The following is a 21,574-nucleotide window of genomic DNA, read 5'->3' as shown; positions in this document are numbered from 1 at the left end:
CTATTTAGGCACATTTAATACTTTGTTATTTATTTTAAATTTTGAAAACTTAGCTTAGTCCTGAATGAAGTATTTTCTGGTTTACGAGGACTGCAAATCATTACCAGAAAGTGAATTGAGCAATATTTCCCTTTATAATTTAAAACTATGACTTTCAAATAAACAATTATCTAAAAACACTTATGCTATTAGATAGCATATTCTTGAAATGCGTGCAAAATCAACAACCATTTATTCTCCTCTTCCCTGTTTTAAAGACATTTTTATTGGGTTGAGAGTGTTTCAGGATATAAAGCAGTTTGCCAAATTCTGTCACCCTTTTTTTTAATGTCATAAAGGGTGTGGTGCCTGTAGAGAAGTTTTGAAAGTTGTACTTTATGATGTTTTTGCCTTCACTTTTTAAAAAAATGGTAAGATAATCTAAGTCCTGTCCGTATATTCTGGTTCCTAGTATAGGCTTCAGGGTGCACTCACTATGAAAAGTCAGAATATTTCCTGTAGCCAGTTTTACTTACTTCCTTGCCAGGAGTGTTTAGGTTCTTTTTTTTTTTTTTTTCTTTTTTGAGATGGAGTCTCACTCTGTCGCCCGGGGCTGGAGTGCAATGGCGTGATCTCGGCTCACTGCAACCTCCGCCTCCCGGGTTCACGCGATACTTCTGCCTCAGCTTCCCGAGTACCCGGGATTACAGACGCACACCGCAACACCTGGCTAATTTTTTGTATTTTTAGTCGAGGCGGGGTTTCACCATCTTGGCCAGACTGGTTTCGAACTCCTGACCTCGTGATCCGCCCGCCTCGGCCTCCAAAAGTGCTGGGATTACAGGCGTGGGCCATCGCGCCCACCCGTGTTTAGATTCTTAACAGCTCATTATTAGAAATAAAGTCTCGATAAGAACTACTTTAATACTTAATTTTCTTGCTTAGAAAGGTGAAAACAATTTAGAAGGAACAACGTGAGGCATCAAAGTTAAGCTGTATCTCCCATAGCTGGTGATTATTAAAAATCTCTATGAATCTAGTCTGTTCCTGTCATTCTTTTATTAATCCCTGGTTATTGGGAAGCTCTTAACAAAATAAATGTTTAAAATTATATTTCTGTAATTAAGTAAAAGAGAGTATTGATTCCACAAGGCTAGAATTGTTCGTCTAAGAAAAACGAATTCTCCGTAAATTTTAACCCGTTAATACCACAGAAAGATGCTGTTGGAAAGGTCTAAGAACAGAGAGATGCAAGCAGAGAAACACCATTTTCAGAACATGACATGGGATGGTGAGATTTGCTGATTTGGTTCCGTCTTCATTATCTGACATTTAATGACAGTTCACACAGAAATCGCTCGCCTGAAAACCCGTGTTTAAATCCCGGCACAGAGACTGTCTTCCTTGTCATTGTCATACCAGTAAAAAAAAGAAAAGTATCTAGAGAGAGAGAGAGGAGAATAAGCACAGAAGTTAAAATACAATAAAATCCCTTTTCCCTTTCTTTCCTTGGATCTGGGTTTTGAAGGAGACAAAGAAGGACCCCCAGGCTTTCCAGCAGCCAGCAAGCGCTATTACTTTTTATTTAAAAGCAACTGGGAAAAACATTCCCCAAAGCAAAACCAGAAGCCCTCCCTGAGAATCGTCTCTGGGCGTCGGGGCCCGGGCCGCTGGGGTGCCACTCCGCAAGGGGTTCCTCTTCTCCCCGGGGTCCCTGAGGGCTGGACGAGAGAGGACCCGTCGGTCCCGGGGTGCCGGGAGGAGACGTTCGCCCGCCCCACGAGAGGGGGCGGCTCTGGCCTCGGAGCCGCCCCTCCTGCCGCCGGAGAACAAACGGGATATTCAGCAGTGGCCTGTGGCTGCCAGAGCAGCTCCTCAGGGGAAACTAAGCGTCGAGTCAGACGGCACCATAATCGCCTTTAAAAGTGCCTCCGCCCTGCCGGCCGCGTATCCCCCGGCTACCTGGGCCGCCCCGCGGCGGTGCGCGCGTGAGAGGGAGCGCGCGGGCAGCCGAGCGCCGGTGTGAGCCAGCGCTGCTGCCAGTGTGAGCGGCGGTGTGAGCGCGGTGGGTGCGGAGGGGCGTGTGTGCCGGCGCGCGCGCCGTGGGGTGCAAACCCCGAGCGTCTACGCTGCCATGAGGGGCGCGAACGCCTGGGCGCCACTCTGCCTGCTGCTGGCTGCCGCCACCCAGCTCTCGCGGCAGCAGTCCCCAGAGAGGTAACGCGACCCCTGCCCGGGCTCCCTTTCTCTCCTTTCCCTTCCTCCACCCCTGCAGCCTCGCCTGCTGCTTTACTCAACCCGCTTCGGCGCGCCTGGGTGACCCAGCGCTCGACCCTGCGCTCCCGCGCGGTGCAGGCGTCCGCCACCCTCGGGTAGGCTAAGCCCGGGACTTCGGGACCCATCCTTGCTCGCGGGGCTCCCTCCTGGGTCCCCAGCCCGGCCTGCCGGATGGCCCTGCAGCTGGCTTGGCCACCACGTGGCGGGGCTTAATCTGACTTGTGTCTCCCCTCTCCTCGTGTCTATGGGGCCAGAGGGAAGCACTGGGGCCCAAATATGTGGATTTTGGTTTACCGCTGTTTTTTTTCCTTCCCCGAGAGGCTTTGCCCAGAGACGTAAACTAGGGAACAACCCTAGCGGCGCGGCGCCTAGGGAGCCGCTCCGGAAAGTTAACTCTTCGCCAACCTCTGGAAGGCCCCAGGAGCTGGGCTGTGGGACCTGCCCGGTGGCCAACTTTGGCATCACCTCTTCAGCCTCCATCAACATCAGCCTCCCTTTCGATGGGAAGCTCTGCCAATGGCGAGTGATTTTCAGAAAGGGGGAGGAGAACTGGGCATCTCTCCAAATATGGGAACGACAAACTTTTTTTATATTAACCAATTGCTTGCCTGTCTTTCTTTAAAACCATGCTTCTCATTCAGCCTGGCTCTTACCTTCTCTCCCACTCCCCCAGTTAAATTGATGTATTTACCATTTTCCTACAAGACTTTGCCACAATGCCGAGGACTTGATTATACATATATATAATCTTGTGTTATTATGATGGAGACAGATGGCGCTGGACTGAATGCTTTGTCAGGCTATAATTTAAATATTCTAGGAGCTAGCAAATTTTCAGATCCCTTATATGGTGCAAGCATTGATTAATCAACATTAACTTTTATTTATATTAATAGGCTACACCTTTCTGAAGGTAACATCAGATTGTTAGACCATGTTTCAAATTACATTATCTTTTCTTCTTTTATGTTCCCAGACCTGTTTTCACATGTGGTGGCATTCTTACTGGAGAGTCTGGATTTATTGGCAGTGAAGGTTTTCCTGGAGTGTACCCTCCAAATAGCAAATGTACTTGGAAAATCACAGTAAGCATTTTTTAAAAAGGTATTCTCCTGGAAGTGGGTGTTGGCAACAGTGTGAGGCTGCTGCCTTTTTCCTCTGGTGTTAGGATTTGAGTAAGAGGCAAATGCCTGAAATAGTGAAATGTTGGATTTACCCCAACTATTGGGAAGATTTTTATTAATATAATAGATCTAGTCGTGTCCTGCATTAGTGATTACAAAGGGCACAAGATAATGCTTGAAGGAATAAATTCTCAGAGCAGATGTGTTTCTGAAAGCCCAGTGTGACTCAGTTGAGTTTTATAGATTCATAATTAAAGCTGTTTTCAGTCAAAGGCCTGTTGTAATGACCTTCATAAGTTTTTTGTTGCTCGTGCCTTCATAAATTCCCAGTGGGAAATGGAAGATCAAAGATAGTGCTTTGACTACTCTATGCTCATTAGGAAAGGAAAAAGAAAAAAAATAAAAAAAGCCCACTTAATGTTCCTGGGTTGAAACCACCTCTAAAGGCAGTCTAAGAATAGAGAATGGGGGGGTGGGAATCTAAATAGCAGCCAAGGGCCAATAAAAAGTCCATGCTGATTAGTAATAACATAGATTATGCTGAGTCAAGATAAGCTGGATTTAGAGACAGCCATATATTTTTTAACTGATTTAGAGTCAACTAGAGTGAGTCATCTTTCCAGTCAGCATAGCATTGACTGTTACCTTCTTCACTTTTTCGTTGTTGGGAAGTTGTTTAGTAATTGAATACGTTGGTTCACTGAGAGCTTCTTTCAGTCAGATTGTGCCACTGGAGGACTTAGATTTTTTAAAAAGTAGCCCCCACTGAATGTGTAAACTAGCAGTTACTGTGTGCCAGGCATTTACCATGCCAAGTAGTTAGCAAGTATAATCACCCAGAATCCTCAAAACAACTGTATGAGAAAGTATCTATTATCATCCCTATTTTATAGATGGGGAAGCTGAGGCCTGAAACAATTATAGAAATTGACTTGATCAGACAGTCGGGAAGCCCAACTTTATGTAAAAGTAAAACCTACTTTGCAATAAGGTATTCCCACTGAGGTCATTTTGCAGGCAGATATGAGAGGTCCCCTTCCATAATATAAAACTCAGCTCTTACATGCCTTGACGGCCTCTTGTAAAATGCCAACCATGTCACAAACTGGTACAGATTTCATTATGTTATTATAGCACATGTGGCCAGGAAAGAAGTCATAGAAAATAAGTTTGAAATACTATTAACATAAATGTCAAATAAGTCTCTGAAACAAAAATAAAAGCAGCTTGATTTTCATGTCGTGATTGTGTTTTAAATGTAATTAAATGGCCATAAGTTTTAAACGACCCTAGAAAATCAATGGCTCAGAGGCGTCATGTGCCCAAGTAGAAATTCATGGTTGGCCATGTGTTCTGAGTATTGCGGACAGGTTGATGTGACTTTACACTTTGACTGGGGTTGGGGGGCACGTCCAGTGAAAGCTTTCCTTGATAAAGGAACGGTTTGCCTCAGGAGAGGCATGATTTCCTGTGTGGGAGTGGGGAAGTTAAATGGATGCTCCATCTGGATGTCCTGTGAAGGGAAAGCCTGTGAGCTCAGCAGTCACTTCCCTGGATTCAAATTCCAGTTTCACCGCCATAAACTGTGTGTCCAGGATCTACCTCCTTTAAACCTTAGGATTACTGTGAAGACAAAATGAGATAGTGTAAAATGCTTCAACTCAGTGCCTGAGTGGGAAGAAGCTTGATTTGTCTGAAGAACAAATTAAGGAGGTTGGAGTGGCTGGAATGGAATGAGCAAGGGGACAGTGGGAAGAGAAGCGAAGAAGGTAAACAGGACTCTGTAGGCCACGGTGGAGAGTTTGAATTTTGTTTTGAGTAGGAGTCACTGGAAGATCTTAAGCAGAGGAATGAGCTTATCTGGTGTCTGCGTGGAAGATGAACTGTAGGGAGTTAAGAGTAGAGGCAGAGAGACCAATTAGGAAGCTGTTGTGGTATCCAGGAGAGGGAAGATGGTGGAGTAGACAAGGTGGTAGCAGAGAAGATGAAGAAATGCGGAGTCTTCTGCCCACAGTGTTTTCTCAGCAGCTCTGCCTGCGGTTAGGATATAGTGGCACCAGCTAGAAGGATACATGCACCAGGCTCTGTCTCCCTGCTTAGCCATTCCAGACAGGACTGTGCTCTACTATGGCCTTGTCCAAGGCCATCTATTAAAGGTTTTTCCCACGCTGGTTGGTCCAGCCCATTTTTCTGTTCCTGCAGTCAGTAAACCAAGAATAGTGTTCCCATTGAGTGATTCAGTATCACTTTTATTAAAATATCACAGAGGCCGCTGGAGATGGGAAAGCCTCAGAGTGGTCCTTAAACTGTAGTTCCTGTAGCTGGGGGGAAATATCTTGCTTTCACTCACTGGCCTCCCATTCTGTTCGTCCAAACTGGAGATGTGTCCCAGCATGGTAGCTTTCACCGCTAAATGGTTTTCATTAAACTCTATCATATCAATGCAAGAATGGGAAATGTCTGATTTTAACTTTTGCTTTAAGAAAGGTGAATCCTAGTTGTTACCACCAAACTTCCAGTCCTTCGTGTTGGACTTTCTGATGCGAAAGTACAGCCTGCAGATTGGAAATTTAGATGTGTCCTTACATTATAGTACTTTAAAATTTTTATAGCAATTTCTTAGACAGCTGCATTGTTCCAACACACTGTATTGGCTATTTAAATGTAAATTAAGTTAAACATTTAGTTTCTTAGTCATACTAGCCACATTCAAGTGCTCAATAGCCACATGTGGATAGTGGCTGCCTTACTGGACAATATGTAATATAGTATTTCTGTCATCACAATTTTTCTTGTGGACAGTGCTGTGCTATTAATAGAAAAATTTTATGCTTAATTTTACTCACGTAAAATGTTGAGGACAGAGGTGCTCTGTGCTGCTTAGTTGTACTTCTGCTTTGCAAATAGGGAAGCTGCTACTGGTTCTTTGTAGTTGTTGGAGCTGTAACTGGAACTCAAGACTCTTGACTCAGCTTTATCACCAAGAGTTGATGGCCTTAACAGGTCTTAGGTTTTTTACTTTTACTGTATGTGTTCTCAAAAATGTATGCTTAGAGACTAAATTAGAGAATTTGGGTGTTAAGAAATAGTTGAATATTTTGTAATCCATGATGGGGTTGAGAGTTTCTTAGTTTACTGTAGGAGTTGATTCTGGGGACTATAACCTAAAAGGCATCTGCATAAAATCCCCTAATTCTCAAATACGGGGACGTGGGTATGAGTTAAATGTGATTTGACAGCTAAGGTATATATAATCCTTTGGAAAGTAGTGACTGGTCTTCTAAGCAGGCTTGGAAGAACAATAGGGTTGGGGTGAGGCATAAGTCACCCTAATTTATTTAAGAACCAGAACCAATAACTCCCACCTGTATTAAGCCCTGCAGCAAGAAATGAAACTCCAAAAGTTGACATCCCACCACCTGGACCCCTCTATTACAGTGGTTCTTCTGCAGTTTGAGATTGTATGCAGGAGACAACAGTAAAAAATCTCTGAGATCCATAAAAGAAGTAGGGGAGAGTGGACCACTGTGAACAAAAACACAGCTGGTGTGATGTATTTCACTGCAACATAGGCAGGACACATTTAGAAGAGCCCATGAAGCATGGTGCTGGGTGCAGGAGACACATAGGCGAATTTAGAGGTGATAAACACATGGGGAGCTACCTGCTAGGATGTGTTCCCAAGGCCCTGAGTGGGAAGTGAGACAAAGCCCACCAGGCATCTTACGTTCTGTGCTCCACAGGCACCCCTGGCATAAAGATCACCATTCCGTTAATAGCTTCATTATAAATTCATTGCAAACTCGGCAAATCATCAATACCTCTGTTCCTTGATATTTTCATTCATAACTTGTTCATTTTATAATTCCCATAATGGAATTAGAGATACATATTGATGATTCGACACAAATATGTGTTTTTTTTTTTTTTAAAGAAAAGTAGACATACGTTGGGAGGCTGAGGCAGGTGGATCACCTGAGGTAAGGAGTTCAAGACCAGCCTGGCCAACGTGGTGAAACCCTGTCTCTACTAAAAACACAAAAATTAGCTGGGTGTGGTGGTGGGCGCCTGTAATCCCAGCTACTCGGAGGCTGAGGCAGAGGAATCACTTGAGCCTGGGAGGCAGAGGTTGCAGTGAGCCGAGATCATGCCATTGCACTCCAGCCTGGGCAACAAGAGCGAGACTCCATTTCAAAAAAAAAGAAAAAGACATTAATAGCAAAAATAAGACCTTGTGAAAGCAACTCTATTTAGAGTTTGACTTTGGCTGCATATGGTATGGGTGGCTGAGTGAAACCAGCTGAAGCTTTGTTTATAGTAACTGCAAACCAGAGGAAACTTAAAGCCTAGAATCTTCTGGGAACTCTCCTTGAACAGGTATATAGGAATTTTTGTTTAAAATTGGTTTCCTTTTTTTTTTTTTTTTTTTTTGAGACGGAGTCTCGCTCTGTTGCCTAGGCTGGAGTGCAGTGGCGCAATCTCGCTCACTGCAAGCTCCGCCTCCCAGGTTCATGCCATTCTCCTGCCTCAGCCTCCCAAGTAGCTGGGACTACAGGCGCCCACCACTATGCCCAGCTAATTTTTTGTATTTTTAGTAGAGATGGGGTTTCACCATCTTAGCCAGGATGGTCTCGATCTCCTGACCTCGTGATCCACCCGCCTCGGCCTCCCAAAGTGCTGGGATTACAGGCGTGAGCTACTGCGCCCTGCCTAAAATTGGTTTCCAAACTTAAAACCAAATATCACATCTGAATGTCTAATGCAACTGCTGTTATGTTATCTAACTGAAACAGCAATTGTTATGCAGAGATCGCTGGAATTGATTCTGTTCTTAGATTTAAAACTGGGCATAATTTACAAATCTGTTTTTAAAAGGCGATGATCTGGCCAGGTGCAGTGGCTCATGCCTGTAATCCCAGCACTTTGGAAGGCAGAGGCAGAAGGATCGCTTGAGCCTAGGAGTTCAAGGCTCCTGGAGTGAGCTGTGATTACACCGTTGCACTCCAGGCTGGGCGACAGAGTGAGACCTCTTCTCTAAAGTATAATAATAATGATAAACAAACATAAAATGAGGCAATCCATGTATGTGGTCCTATTGTTAAAAATCATTAGGTTTTTATTATTTATAATTTAAAAGTACTGAAATTAGCCAATTATTTAAGGTTTCAGTTATTCTCAGCATAAATCTAGCCTGAGAAAAATCAGCAAACATAGAGCAAAAATTTAGTCTTGGGGTCCACCTAGAATACAACTTTTTATCCCTTTATGAAGAAAATATGGGAGAGGCCAGGCCTGGTGGCTCACACCTGTAATCCCAATACTTTGGGAGGCCGAGGAGGAAGATCGCTTGCAGCAAGGTGTTCAAGATCAGAGTTCAAGATCAGCCTGAACAACGTAAAGAGACCCTGTCTCTGCAATTTTTTTTTTTTTAAATTAGCCAGGAGTGGTTGTATGCATCTGTAGTCCTCGCTACTTGGGTGGCTGAGATGAGAGGATCTCTTGAGCCCAGGAGTCAGAGGGTGCAGTGAGCTATGATTGTGCCACTGCACTCCAGCCTGGGTGACAGAGCAAGACCCTGTCTGATGATGATGATGATGACGACGATGATGATGATGTGGGAGGGCCAGAGAGTCACAGACCTTTGACAGAAATGGGAGGAGAATGTGGCAATGGGTAGAGGCAGTCCCATTAAAGTGAAAAGTATGTGGCAAAATTTTTCTTATTTAGCTACTCCATGAAGAAAAAAGCGTAAGTTGTCTTACATAGAAAGATCTTCAGATTCTCCAGGTAACTCAAGTATTACCATCTTTATAATTACATCTGTTTTTCTGTTCAGCTAGAGTGAAATACAGTCACATATCCCGTAACAATATTTCAGTCAATGACTACCACATATATGACAGTGGTGCCATAAGATTATATTACCATATTTTTATTGTACCTTTTCTGTGTTTAGATACACAAATATTTACCATTGTTTTACATTTGCCTACAGTGTTCAGTACAGGAACATGCTGTACAGTGTCGTAGCCTAGGAGCAATAGGCTATACTATATAGCCTAGGTGTGTGGTGGATTATACAATCTAGGTTTGTATAAATGCACTCTGTGATATTTGCACAACAGTCACCTAATGATGCATTTTTCAGAATATATCTCCATCATTAAACAATGCATGACTGTATACTTGTGATAGAAATCATGGAACTAAAAATAATAATAGTATATATAGTTTTTGGTATACCTTCAAATATATTGAATTATTTTATTTGCATCTGATTCTCTGGGGTTGGGGTGACAGACCTTAGTATGACCATTTCATAAATGGGGAAATTGAAGTCTAAAGAACTTGTGTCTTAACTAATGTCATACTTGTAAATGGTATACAAAGGGTAGCACACAACTTTCTGACTCAGGGATACCATTATACTCTCATGCACTTATTTATCAAATATTCACCAAGAGTTTTTGAGCACTTCCTGTGTAGTAGGCATTGCACTGGACTGTGGGGGTAGAAAGACAAGGCATAATTTCTGTCCTCAGGGAGTTTATAATCTTGTGGGGAGCAGTTAGACAAGAGAATTGGTAACAGTTATGTGTGTAAATTATTATAATGCCCACTGTAAGCAGTTTTAAGTGTTGATAATTTGGAGTAAAGCTTATTTTCACTTTTAAAAATTATTGAAGATCTTAAGATTAGTTAAGATAAAAATAATTATTGCTTCGTGCAAAGAGTATGACCCGTTTTACTTGTGTGCTACTCTAAGACTGGATAAGTTGTTACTGTATCCTTTGTAAGGATTTGTTTGACTTCCCAGGGTTATTTTACATGTGCCTTGATATTTCCAAAGATGCCTAATAAACAATTACGTGAAGCCATTCCTGTAACATTGCCTTGAGGGCAATTTTATAACTTACATATGTTAAAGTCATCATACTTAATCCATCCTCCAGATGCCTGATCAATTTTAAATGGCATTCCTATTTAGTTGAAGGAACTAGTAGATTAAAAATGTGATTGGGATTTATGTCTTCCCGATAACTTTTATATGGCTTCATGAGAAGAAAGTCAGCAGTGGTGAGCAAAGGGTTTGTGAAAATTGAGACATAGTGATAGTCTAGTAAGATCAGTGCTGGGTGTATAATTTGAGAAAACAAATAGTGAATTTAGGCAGGAACTCAACTTTGAAGTCACTTAATTATACCTAAGGGTATGGCAAGGGGTTCTAAAATTACTGTAACTATTATTTGCCTGGTATAACCACAGCAGGACAGATAGGGGAATGGAATTTTGACTTTAAACACATATTTCTTGGCTTTAAACTGCACGTAGGATTTAGAATTATATAGAGACTTAAATTTCAATCTTAACTGTGGGCTTTTTTTTTTTTTAATGTATATGTATACATTGGTTGCACTAGGCTCATTATTTCAGTTGCCTGAATAGTAATTTAACCCAATGCTTGAGTTAGTATTATTTTTATGTAAGAATAGTAAAAATGAGTATAACTAACAGAAAATGTTTGCATATCCAAGGCTATATGAATGGGATAAGAGCACCATAGCTTGGTTTTTTTTGGGGGGGTGGGGTTGTTTATTTTTTAATCCAGAAAGTATAATTTGGAAACTTTACAATTCCTTTTTTTTTTTTTTTTTTTTTGAGATGGAGTCTCGCTCTGTCGCCCAGGCTGGAGTGCAGTGGCATGATCTCGGCTCACTGCAAGCTCTGCCTCCTGGGTTCACACTATTCTCTTGCCTCAGCCTCCCCAGTAGCTGGGACTACAGGCGCCCCCCCACCACGCCTGCCTAATTTTTTGTATTTTTTAGTAGAGGCGGGGTTTCACCGTGTTAGCCAGGATGGTCTCGATCTCCTGACCTCGTGATCCGCCCTCCTCGGCCTCCCAAAGTGCCGGGATTATAGGCGTGAGCCACCGTGCCCGGCCAAAACTTTACAATTCTTATGGCACATAAGCTGTTCAATTAGATGTCAGTTATTAAGATAGCAGAAAAATTAAAAAGTTTTCATTATTGCCTTAAATTTTTCTGGGAAGCAGGGCAAATATAAATCCTAAATAAATAAGCAAGCACTGTAGGTGACATTTTCCCACTGGGGCCTCAGTCCAGTTTTTCTAAATTTGTTTAGCTTTCTGCCTGCTTTTGAAGGCTTCTGTTGCTTGTTTTTGTTTTCTTTTTCTTTGCTCTTTCACACGGAAATCAAGTGTTTTTATTGATTGAAAACTTTATGTTTTATAAATATACTTATTTGTACTGCTTGTATTTTTAGTGCTGTGTTCAAGCAGATGTCTTAGAAGAGGTTTAATGAGTAGAAAAGAAAATGAGCAAACATGAAAATGAAGTCTTCATGTATTTTTTTTTTCTGAAAGGGATTCTCTTTAATAACATATTCATACCAAACAAAAATCATTCTTTCCTGAAACATCACTATAAAAATAGAACATAAAGATAACACTTTTTTTAAAGTAGTGTAAATCAAGAAGGCATTTAGTATAATTAAAACACTCAGAAAGGATTTTTAAGATTATTTAAAAGACAGATTAAATTACTTTTATATCCCTTGACCACCTCCAGAGTTAAATTTATGATGTGAAATTATGGCAAATAAGAATTGTACCATAAATTTGAAAATGCCTTAAAATCTCTCAGGTTTTGACAGTAAAAAAGGGAACAGTCTCATTTATTGGTTGCTTAATGCTGAAGACCAGAGAAACATTTAAAGGGCTCCTAATTCTAAGAAGTTCTTTCGGGTTTTTTTTTTTTGAGACAAAGTCTCACTTTTCACCCAGTCTGGAGTGCAGTGGCGTGATCTCAGCTCACTGCAGCCTCCGCTTCCTGGATTCAAGAGATTCTCCTGCCTCAGCCACCCAGTAGCTGGGACTAGAGGCACCCACCATCACGCCTGGATAATTTTTGTATTTTTAGTAGAGATAGGGTTTTGTCATGTTGACTGATCTCAAACTCCTGACCTCAAGTCAGTCGGCCCGCCTTGGTCTCCCAAAGTGGGATTTCTTTTCCCACATTGCTCTGCTTAGAGTCAGGAGAGTGCTTTTGTGTGCTGTCGCTTTCCCATGTTTCTTGTACGTAGAAATGTTAGTGTATGGATTGTTCTTCAATCTTACGAAAACTGTAATCCCCACTCTCAACTTAGACAGTTGCACCTTATGAGTTAACAGCTTTATCAACGGTGGCAATAGCACTTTGAGGGACTCTTGAGTTTCTTAGTCTAGGAACTTTGGAGAAAATAAGTGTTTTTCTCAGATACATTATTTGGTCGATCACGAGAGTCAGTATGGCAAGTCTTTAAGAAACAAATATAAACATCCCGAAATAAATGGAACACCCACAGAGAAGTGGGGAGTTGGAATTATAACTGCCCAAAGCACAAGCCCTGCCACTAAATATCACCTCTCTTTTACCACCTCACCCCCAAGCTGCTCCTGAGTACTGCATATAATAAAATAGTGTTTTCAAAAATGTGAAGGGAGGGAGAGACCATTTAATCAAAGATGGGCTGTTACATGGACCAGACTGTCAAGAAGAAAAGCACAGGGAACCCAGGGGCAATTTTACTCCTGCTAAATGCTCCTGGAAATGAATGATAAGGGTTTGATTGCTAGACACAGACCTTCTGAAATCCCTGGGCTACAGTTGAGCTCCTCCAAATAAATTGTCATTCATTCATTCATTAAAACTGTAAAGTACCTACCAGAGATCAGGTGCTGGATTGGGCACAGAAACAGCAATAATTGAAAAATCACATTCCTGAATGGGGCTGGGCGAGGTAAGGAGGCTCTTACTCATTGGGGAGATGTCCCAGAAACAATGAACAGTGGCACAGGGTGACAGGGACCATGGTTCAGGGTAGTACGTGTGATACTGCTCAGTTACTAGAAGAATGGGCATTGGAGAGTCAGACTGACATAGTTCAAATCCCTGTTCAGCCATTTAATTTACTAGGTATGTGATTAAGTTTCTGGGACTTTCTAAAGTTAGTATCCTGGATATAATGGTCAAACATGCCTTGTAAGGTTAATCTGAAGACTGAAGGAGGCAGTAGATGAAAGTCCCTTAGCACAGTGCTTGGCACAAGCAGGCACTCAATAAATGGTAGTGTTGCTTTATTTATTTATTTTTTAACCTCCCTTCCAGGTCTGTAATAAGGAATAGAAGTGTGGTGTTTGTGCAGAACTTGTCTACAAGCCAACTTGTTTCAAGCTGGTTGGTAATCCATTTGGAGCATGGGGAGTTCCCATTGGAAATACCCATTCCTACTCACTATGTCCTTTCTTCATTTAAAATATGATCTTTCATAAGATCATGGACTTTGTCCACAGAATTGCTTCCAAACCCTCCCTACTTCAACCAGCCACTGCCTACCCCATCATCAACCAAGGGCATTCCATAACCGTTAAGACTTTTCAAAGTAGAGAAAAGATTGTCAGTTAAAAATTGCAAATAATTTTCTCTGTTTATAGATGGAGACTTTAATTTACCTTTGGAGTCCCAAATCATCAGAATAGGCCCCACTAATTACATAAATTAAGTAAAGACTGTATTCATTTATTCCTAATAGAGACACAACATGATATGGTGGTTAAGAGTGTATTTTCTAAGAGTGTAATTTCTGGAGCCAGACAGCCTGGTTCAAATGCTAGTTCCACTGTTGTGCTGGTGAGTCTCCAAAGATGACCTCCCCAATCACCACACCTCCTGGTATTCATGCCTTTTTCTGGCATCCCCCAGCATTGAATCTGGGCTTGCTTTTGGAACAAATTGGATGGAGCAGAGGTGACATTGCATGACTTCTGGGGCAAGAACATAAGAAGCTGCCATATAAGGCCCACCATGCTGTGAGGATGCCCAACATAGCCATGTAGAGAGGCTTTGTGGAGAGAGAGAGGCCCAGAAAGCTCCTAGTAGTTCCAGTCTTCTCAGCTGAGGTGCCAACCATGTGAGTGAAGTCATGTTGAAGGGCTAGCCCAGTGAGCCTTCAGATGACTCAAGCCCAAGCTCCTAACTGGTAGTAAATGCATGAGAGAATTCAAGCTAGAACCATCCAGCTGAGACCAGTGACCCACAGAACCATAACAAATAAGAGTACATTATTATTTTAAGCCACTAAATTTGGGGGTGGTTTGTTGTGCAGCAGGAGATTACTGTAACAATTACGAGCTGTATGACTTTGGGCTTGCTACTTAACCTCCCTGTGCCTCAGTTTCCTCATCTATAAAATGTGGATAATGATACTCCCTACCTCATAGGATTGCTTTGGGACTGAAATTACTGTGTGTACAGCATTAAGAACAGTGCCTAGCAAATGGTAAATACTCAAAAAATATTATTTCTTCATGAAATATTATACTTATTGAACACTTATGTGCCATGGCCTGTTTCACATCCTGGGCACACAGTGAGAAGGTCCCTGCACTAATGGTGCTTACATTCTAGAAGCAGGAGAGAAACCACAAAATAGGATGGTGATGTAAGAATGACACTGATGAGGTGACATTTGAGTGGAAACCTAGATGATGCAAAGAGTCTACCCACTGATGGTTCTTGGAGAAACTGAGGTCACCACTCCTTTGGGTGCAATGATTTATTATGTGGCAGCAGACAGTATCTCTGAGGCTTCTTGCCCATCATAAGTAAAGCACAAAATGTCTCCTGGATGTTTATGAATGGAAAGGCCTTGCTCATGGATTAAGGTTAGTTCCTGTGGTGAGGGTGGTAGGTTTGGTTTGCTTCTTTATGTTTGGTTTCTTTGGTTTTTGACTTTTGAGAGATGCTTTGGGGATGTGAAGCGGGGAGGAGGGAGCTGAAGGGTCTGTTTTTATGAGTAATGTTGCCTTGGGTTCTGGGTGCCAGAACTCTGCACTGTGGTGCAGAGTTGGGAGGAAACTGTTTTCATCATCTCCATTCACAACTCTCTGCAACCTTTGTTGTGGGGAATCTTAAGAACATCAAGAAGGAGCACCCTTGGAATAGACAGAGATTTCCTCTTCATCGGTCTGTTCAGAGTACTTCCATCAGCAAGGACATTTCATTTATACATTCATCTGTTGATTGACACTTGGGTGTGCTTCTACCTTTTGGCTATTTTGAGTATTTTGAACCATGCAGTGCTTTCACTTCCTTTGCATTTTGTAGTCAGGAGTGGAACTGCTGGATCATGTGATAATTTAGGTTTTGAGGAATCGCCAAACTGTTTTCCAGAAGTAAAAGAGAAAAAACCTGGTGAACACTGTTACCAGGAAGCCAGACTGCTTTCTAGGCCAATGTAGATGTCGCCTGGAGTTGCTCCCAAACAACTGGCATTTTGAAGAGGATGCTGGCACAGTCATCAGCTGCTGGGAGCTTGAGCCATTGCGCTTTAGTGGTTACAACTTACGCCTTGTTTAAAGATACGTGTATTTGTGGTTAAAATATTTTTTAAACAAGGGGATCATTAGGAGCCAGGCAGCTACTCCAGGAGATGCCCAATATGCTTGTTTTTGTTATGATATTATAATTTTAATGAACTTATTTTATGCCCCATAAATCTTAGATATATGAAAATTTGTTCCTATAAATCTTAGCAATGCATATATCATTTTATTATTCCCTATCAATCTCAACTACATACATCTGCAAATAAAACTGTATTTCTTAGAAGTAACAGAATTATGAAGTCAGAAGGGAATTATCAGACAGTCTTCCTAACTACCTCTGTGTACCCTAGTACACACCTGATGTCCACTTCCTCTGTGTTCCCATAGCATTCGGGGACATCTTTATTATAGCACTTATCACCCTGTATTATAATCATGTTTATTAATCTGCCTTCCCTACTAAACTATAAATCTCTTAAGGCCAAGGCCTTTTTCCTGGTAGCTAACATAGTGGTTGACACATACAGTAGTAGGTGAGTGAAAGAATGAATTGATTAATCAATTCATAGCTCCATCCACCTGCTTCTGGGCAGAACAGCATAGAAATGATAAATCTCCGAAGAAAAGTATCAACTTGTTTCCAAAGATTTCTGGTAAAAGGAGATGTATTAGTTCATTTTCACACTGCTATAAAAAACTACCTGAGACTGGGTAATTTATAAAGAAAAGAGTTTTAATTGACTCACGGTTTTTCATGGCTGGGAAGGTGTCAGGAAACTTACAATCATGGTGGAAGGTGAAGGGGAAACAAGGCACGTCTTACATCGTGCAGAGAGTGAGGGGGGTGTGCCACATTTAAAACCATCAGCTCGGCCAGGTGCGGTGGCTCACGCCTTTAATCCCAACACTTTGGGAGGCCAAGGCAGGCGGATCACAAAGTCGGAAGATCAAGACCATCCTGGCTAACATGGTGAAACCCCATCTCTACTAAAAATACAAAAATTAGCTGGGTGTGGTGGCGTGTGCCTGTAGTCCCAACTACTCAAGAGGCTGAGGCAGGAGAATTGCTTGAACCCGGGAGGTGGAGGTTGCAGTGAGCCAAGATTGCGCCACTGCACTCCAGCCTGGCAACAGAGTGAGACTCTGTCTCAAATAAAATAAAATAAAACCAAACTATCAGCTCTCATGAGAACTCATTCACTTTCATGAGAACAGCATGGGGGAACCGCCCCCATGATCCAGTCACCTCCCACCAGGCTCCTCCTGCAACATGTAAGGATTACAATTTGAGATGAGATTTGGGTGGGGACCCAGAGCCAGACCATATTAGGAGACTTCTAAGTTTTTGTACTCTGTAGAATTCTACATTTGAAAAAGATGTTCTCTTCCTGTGTCCTCCCCTGCTATGTCTCTAGTTGCGTTCCACCCCCCGAGTGTGTCATTATCTCTCACCATATGATTCTCTTGAGTGACTATCAGTCAGTCAGTGTACCAACATCGGTGACATGAACAAAGCAGCAGGCTGTTTGGGTTTATTGTTGGTTTCTGAATACTCACTTTCCAGTATAGGTGAACATTCCAGATACATCATTAACTGAAGCTCCTATGTGCTTTCTCTGTTTACATTCCGCTAGTCAGTTGAAATATAAATATGTATTATGCTTCTTGTAGATGAAAGAGTATAATGCTGCAATTTTAGTGTTAACTTTGTTAATTATATGTGTAAAATCATTTTGGGTTGAACTTGCAAATCATCAAATAAGGAAATAGATTAACAGTTAATGTGAATTAAGAGAGTATATTATATAGGTAGTTAACTTTAAAAAATTTTTTTCTTTTTTTTTTTTTTTTGAGATGGAGTTTCACTCTAGTTGCCCGGGCTGGAGTGCAATGGTGCGATCTTGTCTCACTGCAACCTCTGCCTCCCGGGTTCAAGTGATTTTCCTGCCTCAGCCTCCTGAATAGCTGGGATTACAGGCACCTGCCACCACACTTGGCTAATTTTTTATTTTTAGTAGAGACGGGGTTTCACCATGTTGGCCGAGCTGGTCTTGAACTCCTGACCTCAGGGTGATCCCGCTGCCTCAGCCTCCCAAAGTGCTTGGATAACAGGTGTGAGCCACTGCGCCCAGCCAACATTTTCTTTTAGAGTCAACATGTGCTTATGAAAATGTAAGTAATATAAGGTTGAATGATAGAGATGAGATTATATCATAATTCTAACATTTATAGAATTGAATATTGAACTAACATTTATAACATTAAATAAAATCACCTTTGGTATGTATTTAAGTTTTCAGTATTTCTTTCCGTTTAGACCATAAATCTTTTGGGGGAAAATAAAAGCACTTTTTTTGGGGAAATTCTTTATATATTCTGAGGATGAATTAATAGTAAATCTTATCCTTTTGATGATGATACTTGGCTCTGGCTAAATTGTGATTTTCACACTTGCCCAAGATATGTATTCAGTCACCCTGGAGTAAATATGAGGGAAACGGGCATTGTCACTTTGTGATGTGGAGCCATGTAACAGGAGGCAAGATTTTTTTTCCCTTAGGGGTTATTTGGTGAGCTATATGAGGACAGAAGGTGGAACACCTGTTATGGATGCAACAAGGAAGGATGTTGGAATGGGGATCAATGAGATTATTTTATTCGATTTATACAACAAATATTTACTTATCATGGACTGTTCTAGGCACGTGGGATATTATCAGTGAGCCAAACAGAGACTCTTGCCCTTGAGAAGCTTTACATGCCTGGGATGTTCTAGGAGCAGCAAAGAGGCCTATGGGATGAACAAGCAGGAGGTTGTAGAAGCTGAGGTTGTTGAGGAGGAAGTGGGGTAGATCCTGAAGAGCCCAGTGGGCCATTGTGAGTGAAATGGAAAGCCTATCAGTAAGGGCCCCCGTAGAAAATAGCGCAGTCAAAATACAGTGATTCAAGGGGGGTTATTTACAAAGGGACTATCCAGGAAGAGTAGGCAAGCTACAAAGGATAGTACAGTAACACAGAGAAAGTGGCAGACAGGCTGTCACTGCTTCTAGTCCCCAAAGGAGGTGTGGAGGGTGTTGGTACTAGAAGCCAGGAGTCAGCACAAGGTGACCTCACAGAGAAAGAGACAGGAAAGTAAATGCCCTGACTGGACTCTCCTCCCTGTTTTCAGTATCCTGTAGGGGCTTCCCGTGGCCAAAAGCAACTGGAAGACAATTGTTGATGCATTCATTTAGGTCAACCACCCAAGAAGAGTAGGGTGAAGATGGGAGGAGAGTGGATCTGGAGGGGCAAATGGACAATGTTTGGCACAGGGAGGCTGTATCAGGGTTCTCCAGAAGTAGAACCAATAGGAGATGTAGATATATAAATGTTTATGTATATGTATATAAAAATATGTATGTATATATTAATACAAGTACATATGTGTATTGAATATCTATACACACAGCTATATACACATATAAAGAGCTTTATTTCAAGGAATTCGTTTATGTGATTGTGGGATTAGGGAGCAGCCAGTCTGAAATTTGTAGTGCAAGTCAGCAGGCTGAAAACTTCCAGTGAGAAGATACCGCTGTAGTCTTGAGACAGAATTTCTTCTTCCTCAGGGAAACCTCAGTTTTGTTCTTAAGGCCTTCCAACTGATTGGATGAGGGCCACCCACATTATCGAGGATAATCTCTTAAGGTGAACTGATTGTACATGTTAACCACATCTACAAAACACCTTCACAGCAACACCTAGATTACTGTTGATTGAATAAGCACTTCCTATAGTCTAGCCAAGTTGACCCATAAAATGAAACCATCTAAGAGCCACAGCCACTCAAACACACTGCAGGATTTTAAGCAGAGGAGTGCCATAAGGTGTCTGTGATTTAAAAGGATCACCCTGAATACTGTGCTGAGAACAGATCATAGGGTGCAAGAATGGAAGAAGGGAGAGCAGCTGGGAGCCTTTTGTTGTAATTCAGATGAGAGATAATGAGGGCTTGGGCCAGCATGGGAACCATGGAGGTGGTAAGGGAATGGGCCGTTTTCTGGATATATTTTAAAATAGAGCCAATAAAAATTATTAATGGACAAGACGAGGGGTGTAAGAGAAAAAAGAGGAGTCAAGAATGACCTCAGAGCAAACTGGAAGGATGAAGATGCAATCAACTGTACAGGGAAGACAGAGGTGGAGCGGCTTTGGCAGCGGAGGCCAGGGGTCTGTCTTTGACATGTTAAGCTCAGCTATACATTAGACCCCAGGTGATGATGTCACAGCAGATTGCTGTTCCAAATATGACTTTACCATCAGGGAGAACAGGGAGCAGGTAACAGTTTGCTTCTTGGACCAGTACTTTAGGATGTAACAAAAATTGGAAACATCAAATGGCAGCTGGTGTGAGTCCATGTCTTTAAAGCATGCAGTTCAAGGAGCTGGGTAGCTGTATCCAACTATGTGTAGGTGTGCTCGCTGCTGAAGATAAAGCTGCTCATGACTTAGGTTTTGAGAAGAAGAACAGTATATAGTAAAAAAAAAAAAAAAAAAAATTGCCTCATTCACTGATAATGGCAATAAAGACACTTACTCTGTTTCAAATGGCTTGCTCTGGTGTATCACAGGAATAAATCCTGTTTCTTTCCTAGCCTGAGCCTATTATTCCGAACCAAAATGCCACAATTTTACATTGAAAATAAGGCGTCAGAATCTGTTGAGGTTGAACTGTGGTCAAAGGGCTTGGTTGCTGAGAGTTTGGAGTCTTCCTAACGCTTGATGTTTTTCTTCACTCTTCAGAGAAATCAGTAATTTATTATTGCACAAAACCCTACCCAGATGCTGCAGCAAAACATGAAAAATACTTTCTAGAGCTAAGTGCTGTCCGAGATAGAATCAGGGACACGTTCATTGCTTTTGCCCAAATTTAAACAGTCCACTTTTTAGATCTCGAGTGTGATCTATCCGTCAACCTAACATTTTACATAATAGTGGAGTTTGTAATGAAGAATCACTCTGTTGCTTCTGGGTCCTAATTTGATTTGACTATCCAGAACCATCTGATGAAGCTAGCAAGCACTTGCTGCCACCGTTGACAGCCTGTTATTTTGAGTTAGGATCTTCTAACTTATAGAGACAGAGAACGAAAAAGTGACTGCCTTTGTGATAATTACCTAACAGATTGACATATGTTAAAATTATCCCTCATTCATGTGAAAGTAGTATTAATTTTAAGATAGCATGGTAAATTTTAATTTTTTAAAAACAGGCCTACTATTGATGGTGTTGACAAAAAGAGTAAATCTCTGTAAAATATTTGAAGAGATTTATTCTGAACCAAATAGGACTATGACCCATGCCACAGGCCCAGGAGGCCCTGAGAACATGTGCCCCAGTTGGTTGGGCCACAGCTTGGTTTTATGCATTTTAGGGAGACATAAGGCATCAATCATTACATGTAAGGTGTACATTGGTTCGGTCCAGAAAGGCGGGAAAACTTGAAGTGTGGGGGCTTCTAGGCCATATGTGGATTCAAAGATTTTTCTGTTTGGCAGTTGGCTGAAAGAGTTAAATTAGTATCTAAAGACCTGGAATCAATAGAAAGAAGTGTCTGATTAAGATAAAGGGTTGTGGAGACCAAGGTTTTTATTATGCAGTTGAAGTCTCCAGATAACAGGCTTCAGAGAGGATAGACTGTGTTTTTTATCAGATTTCAAAAGGTGCCAGACTCTTAATTCTCTCCTGGATCAGGGAGAAGATCTGGAAAGGGAAGGAGATTTTCTACAGAATGTAGATTTTCCCCCAACAGACAGCTTTGCAAGGCCAT

General features: G+C 41.8%; 1 protein-coding gene and 1 long non-coding RNA gene across 2 annotated transcripts in view, besides 1 other annotated feature; one reads left to right on the top strand and one right to left on the bottom strand.

Annotated features, from left to right (window-relative positions):
- Window positions 1-242: 242 nt before the first annotated feature.
- Window positions 243-2,746, bottom strand: LOC124909443 (uncharacterized). The gene is made up of 2 exons (XR_007096122.1): window positions 2,551-2,746; window positions 243-1,419 (listed from the first exon to the last, which is right to left on the bottom strand). It is a non-coding gene; the product is annotated as an uncharacterized LOC124909443 (long non-coding RNA).
- Window positions 1,927-21,574, top strand: part of PCOLCE2 (procollagen C-endopeptidase enhancer 2) — a 71,210-nt gene continuing 51,562 nt past the window's right edge. The window contains exons 1-2 of the mRNA NM_013363.4: window positions 1,927-2,196; window positions 3,233-3,341. Of these exons, the coding sequence (NP_037495.1) occupies window positions 2,114-2,196; window positions 3,233-3,341 (192 nt within the window). The 5' untranslated portion in view covers window positions 1,927-2,113. The remainder of the gene's footprint in view (window positions 2,197-3,232; window positions 3,342-21,574) is intronic.
- Window positions 1,935-1,984: a silencer, noted in NCBI's record as "silent region_14791". NCBI's record gives its function as "represses an Ori minimal core promoter by ATAC-STARR-seq in GM12878 lymphoblastoid cells {active_cell/tissue: GM12878}" and the evidence as "EXISTENCE:reporter gene assay evidence [ECO:0000049][PMID:35858748]".

Source organism: Homo sapiens, chromosome 3 (genome assembly GCF_000001405.40).
Source record: "Homo sapiens chromosome 3, GRCh38.p14 Primary Assembly".
NCBI classification, from domain to species: Eukaryota; Metazoa; Chordata; class Mammalia; order Primates; family Hominidae; genus Homo; species Homo sapiens.
This window is presented reverse-complemented; position numbering and strand designations above follow the sequence as displayed.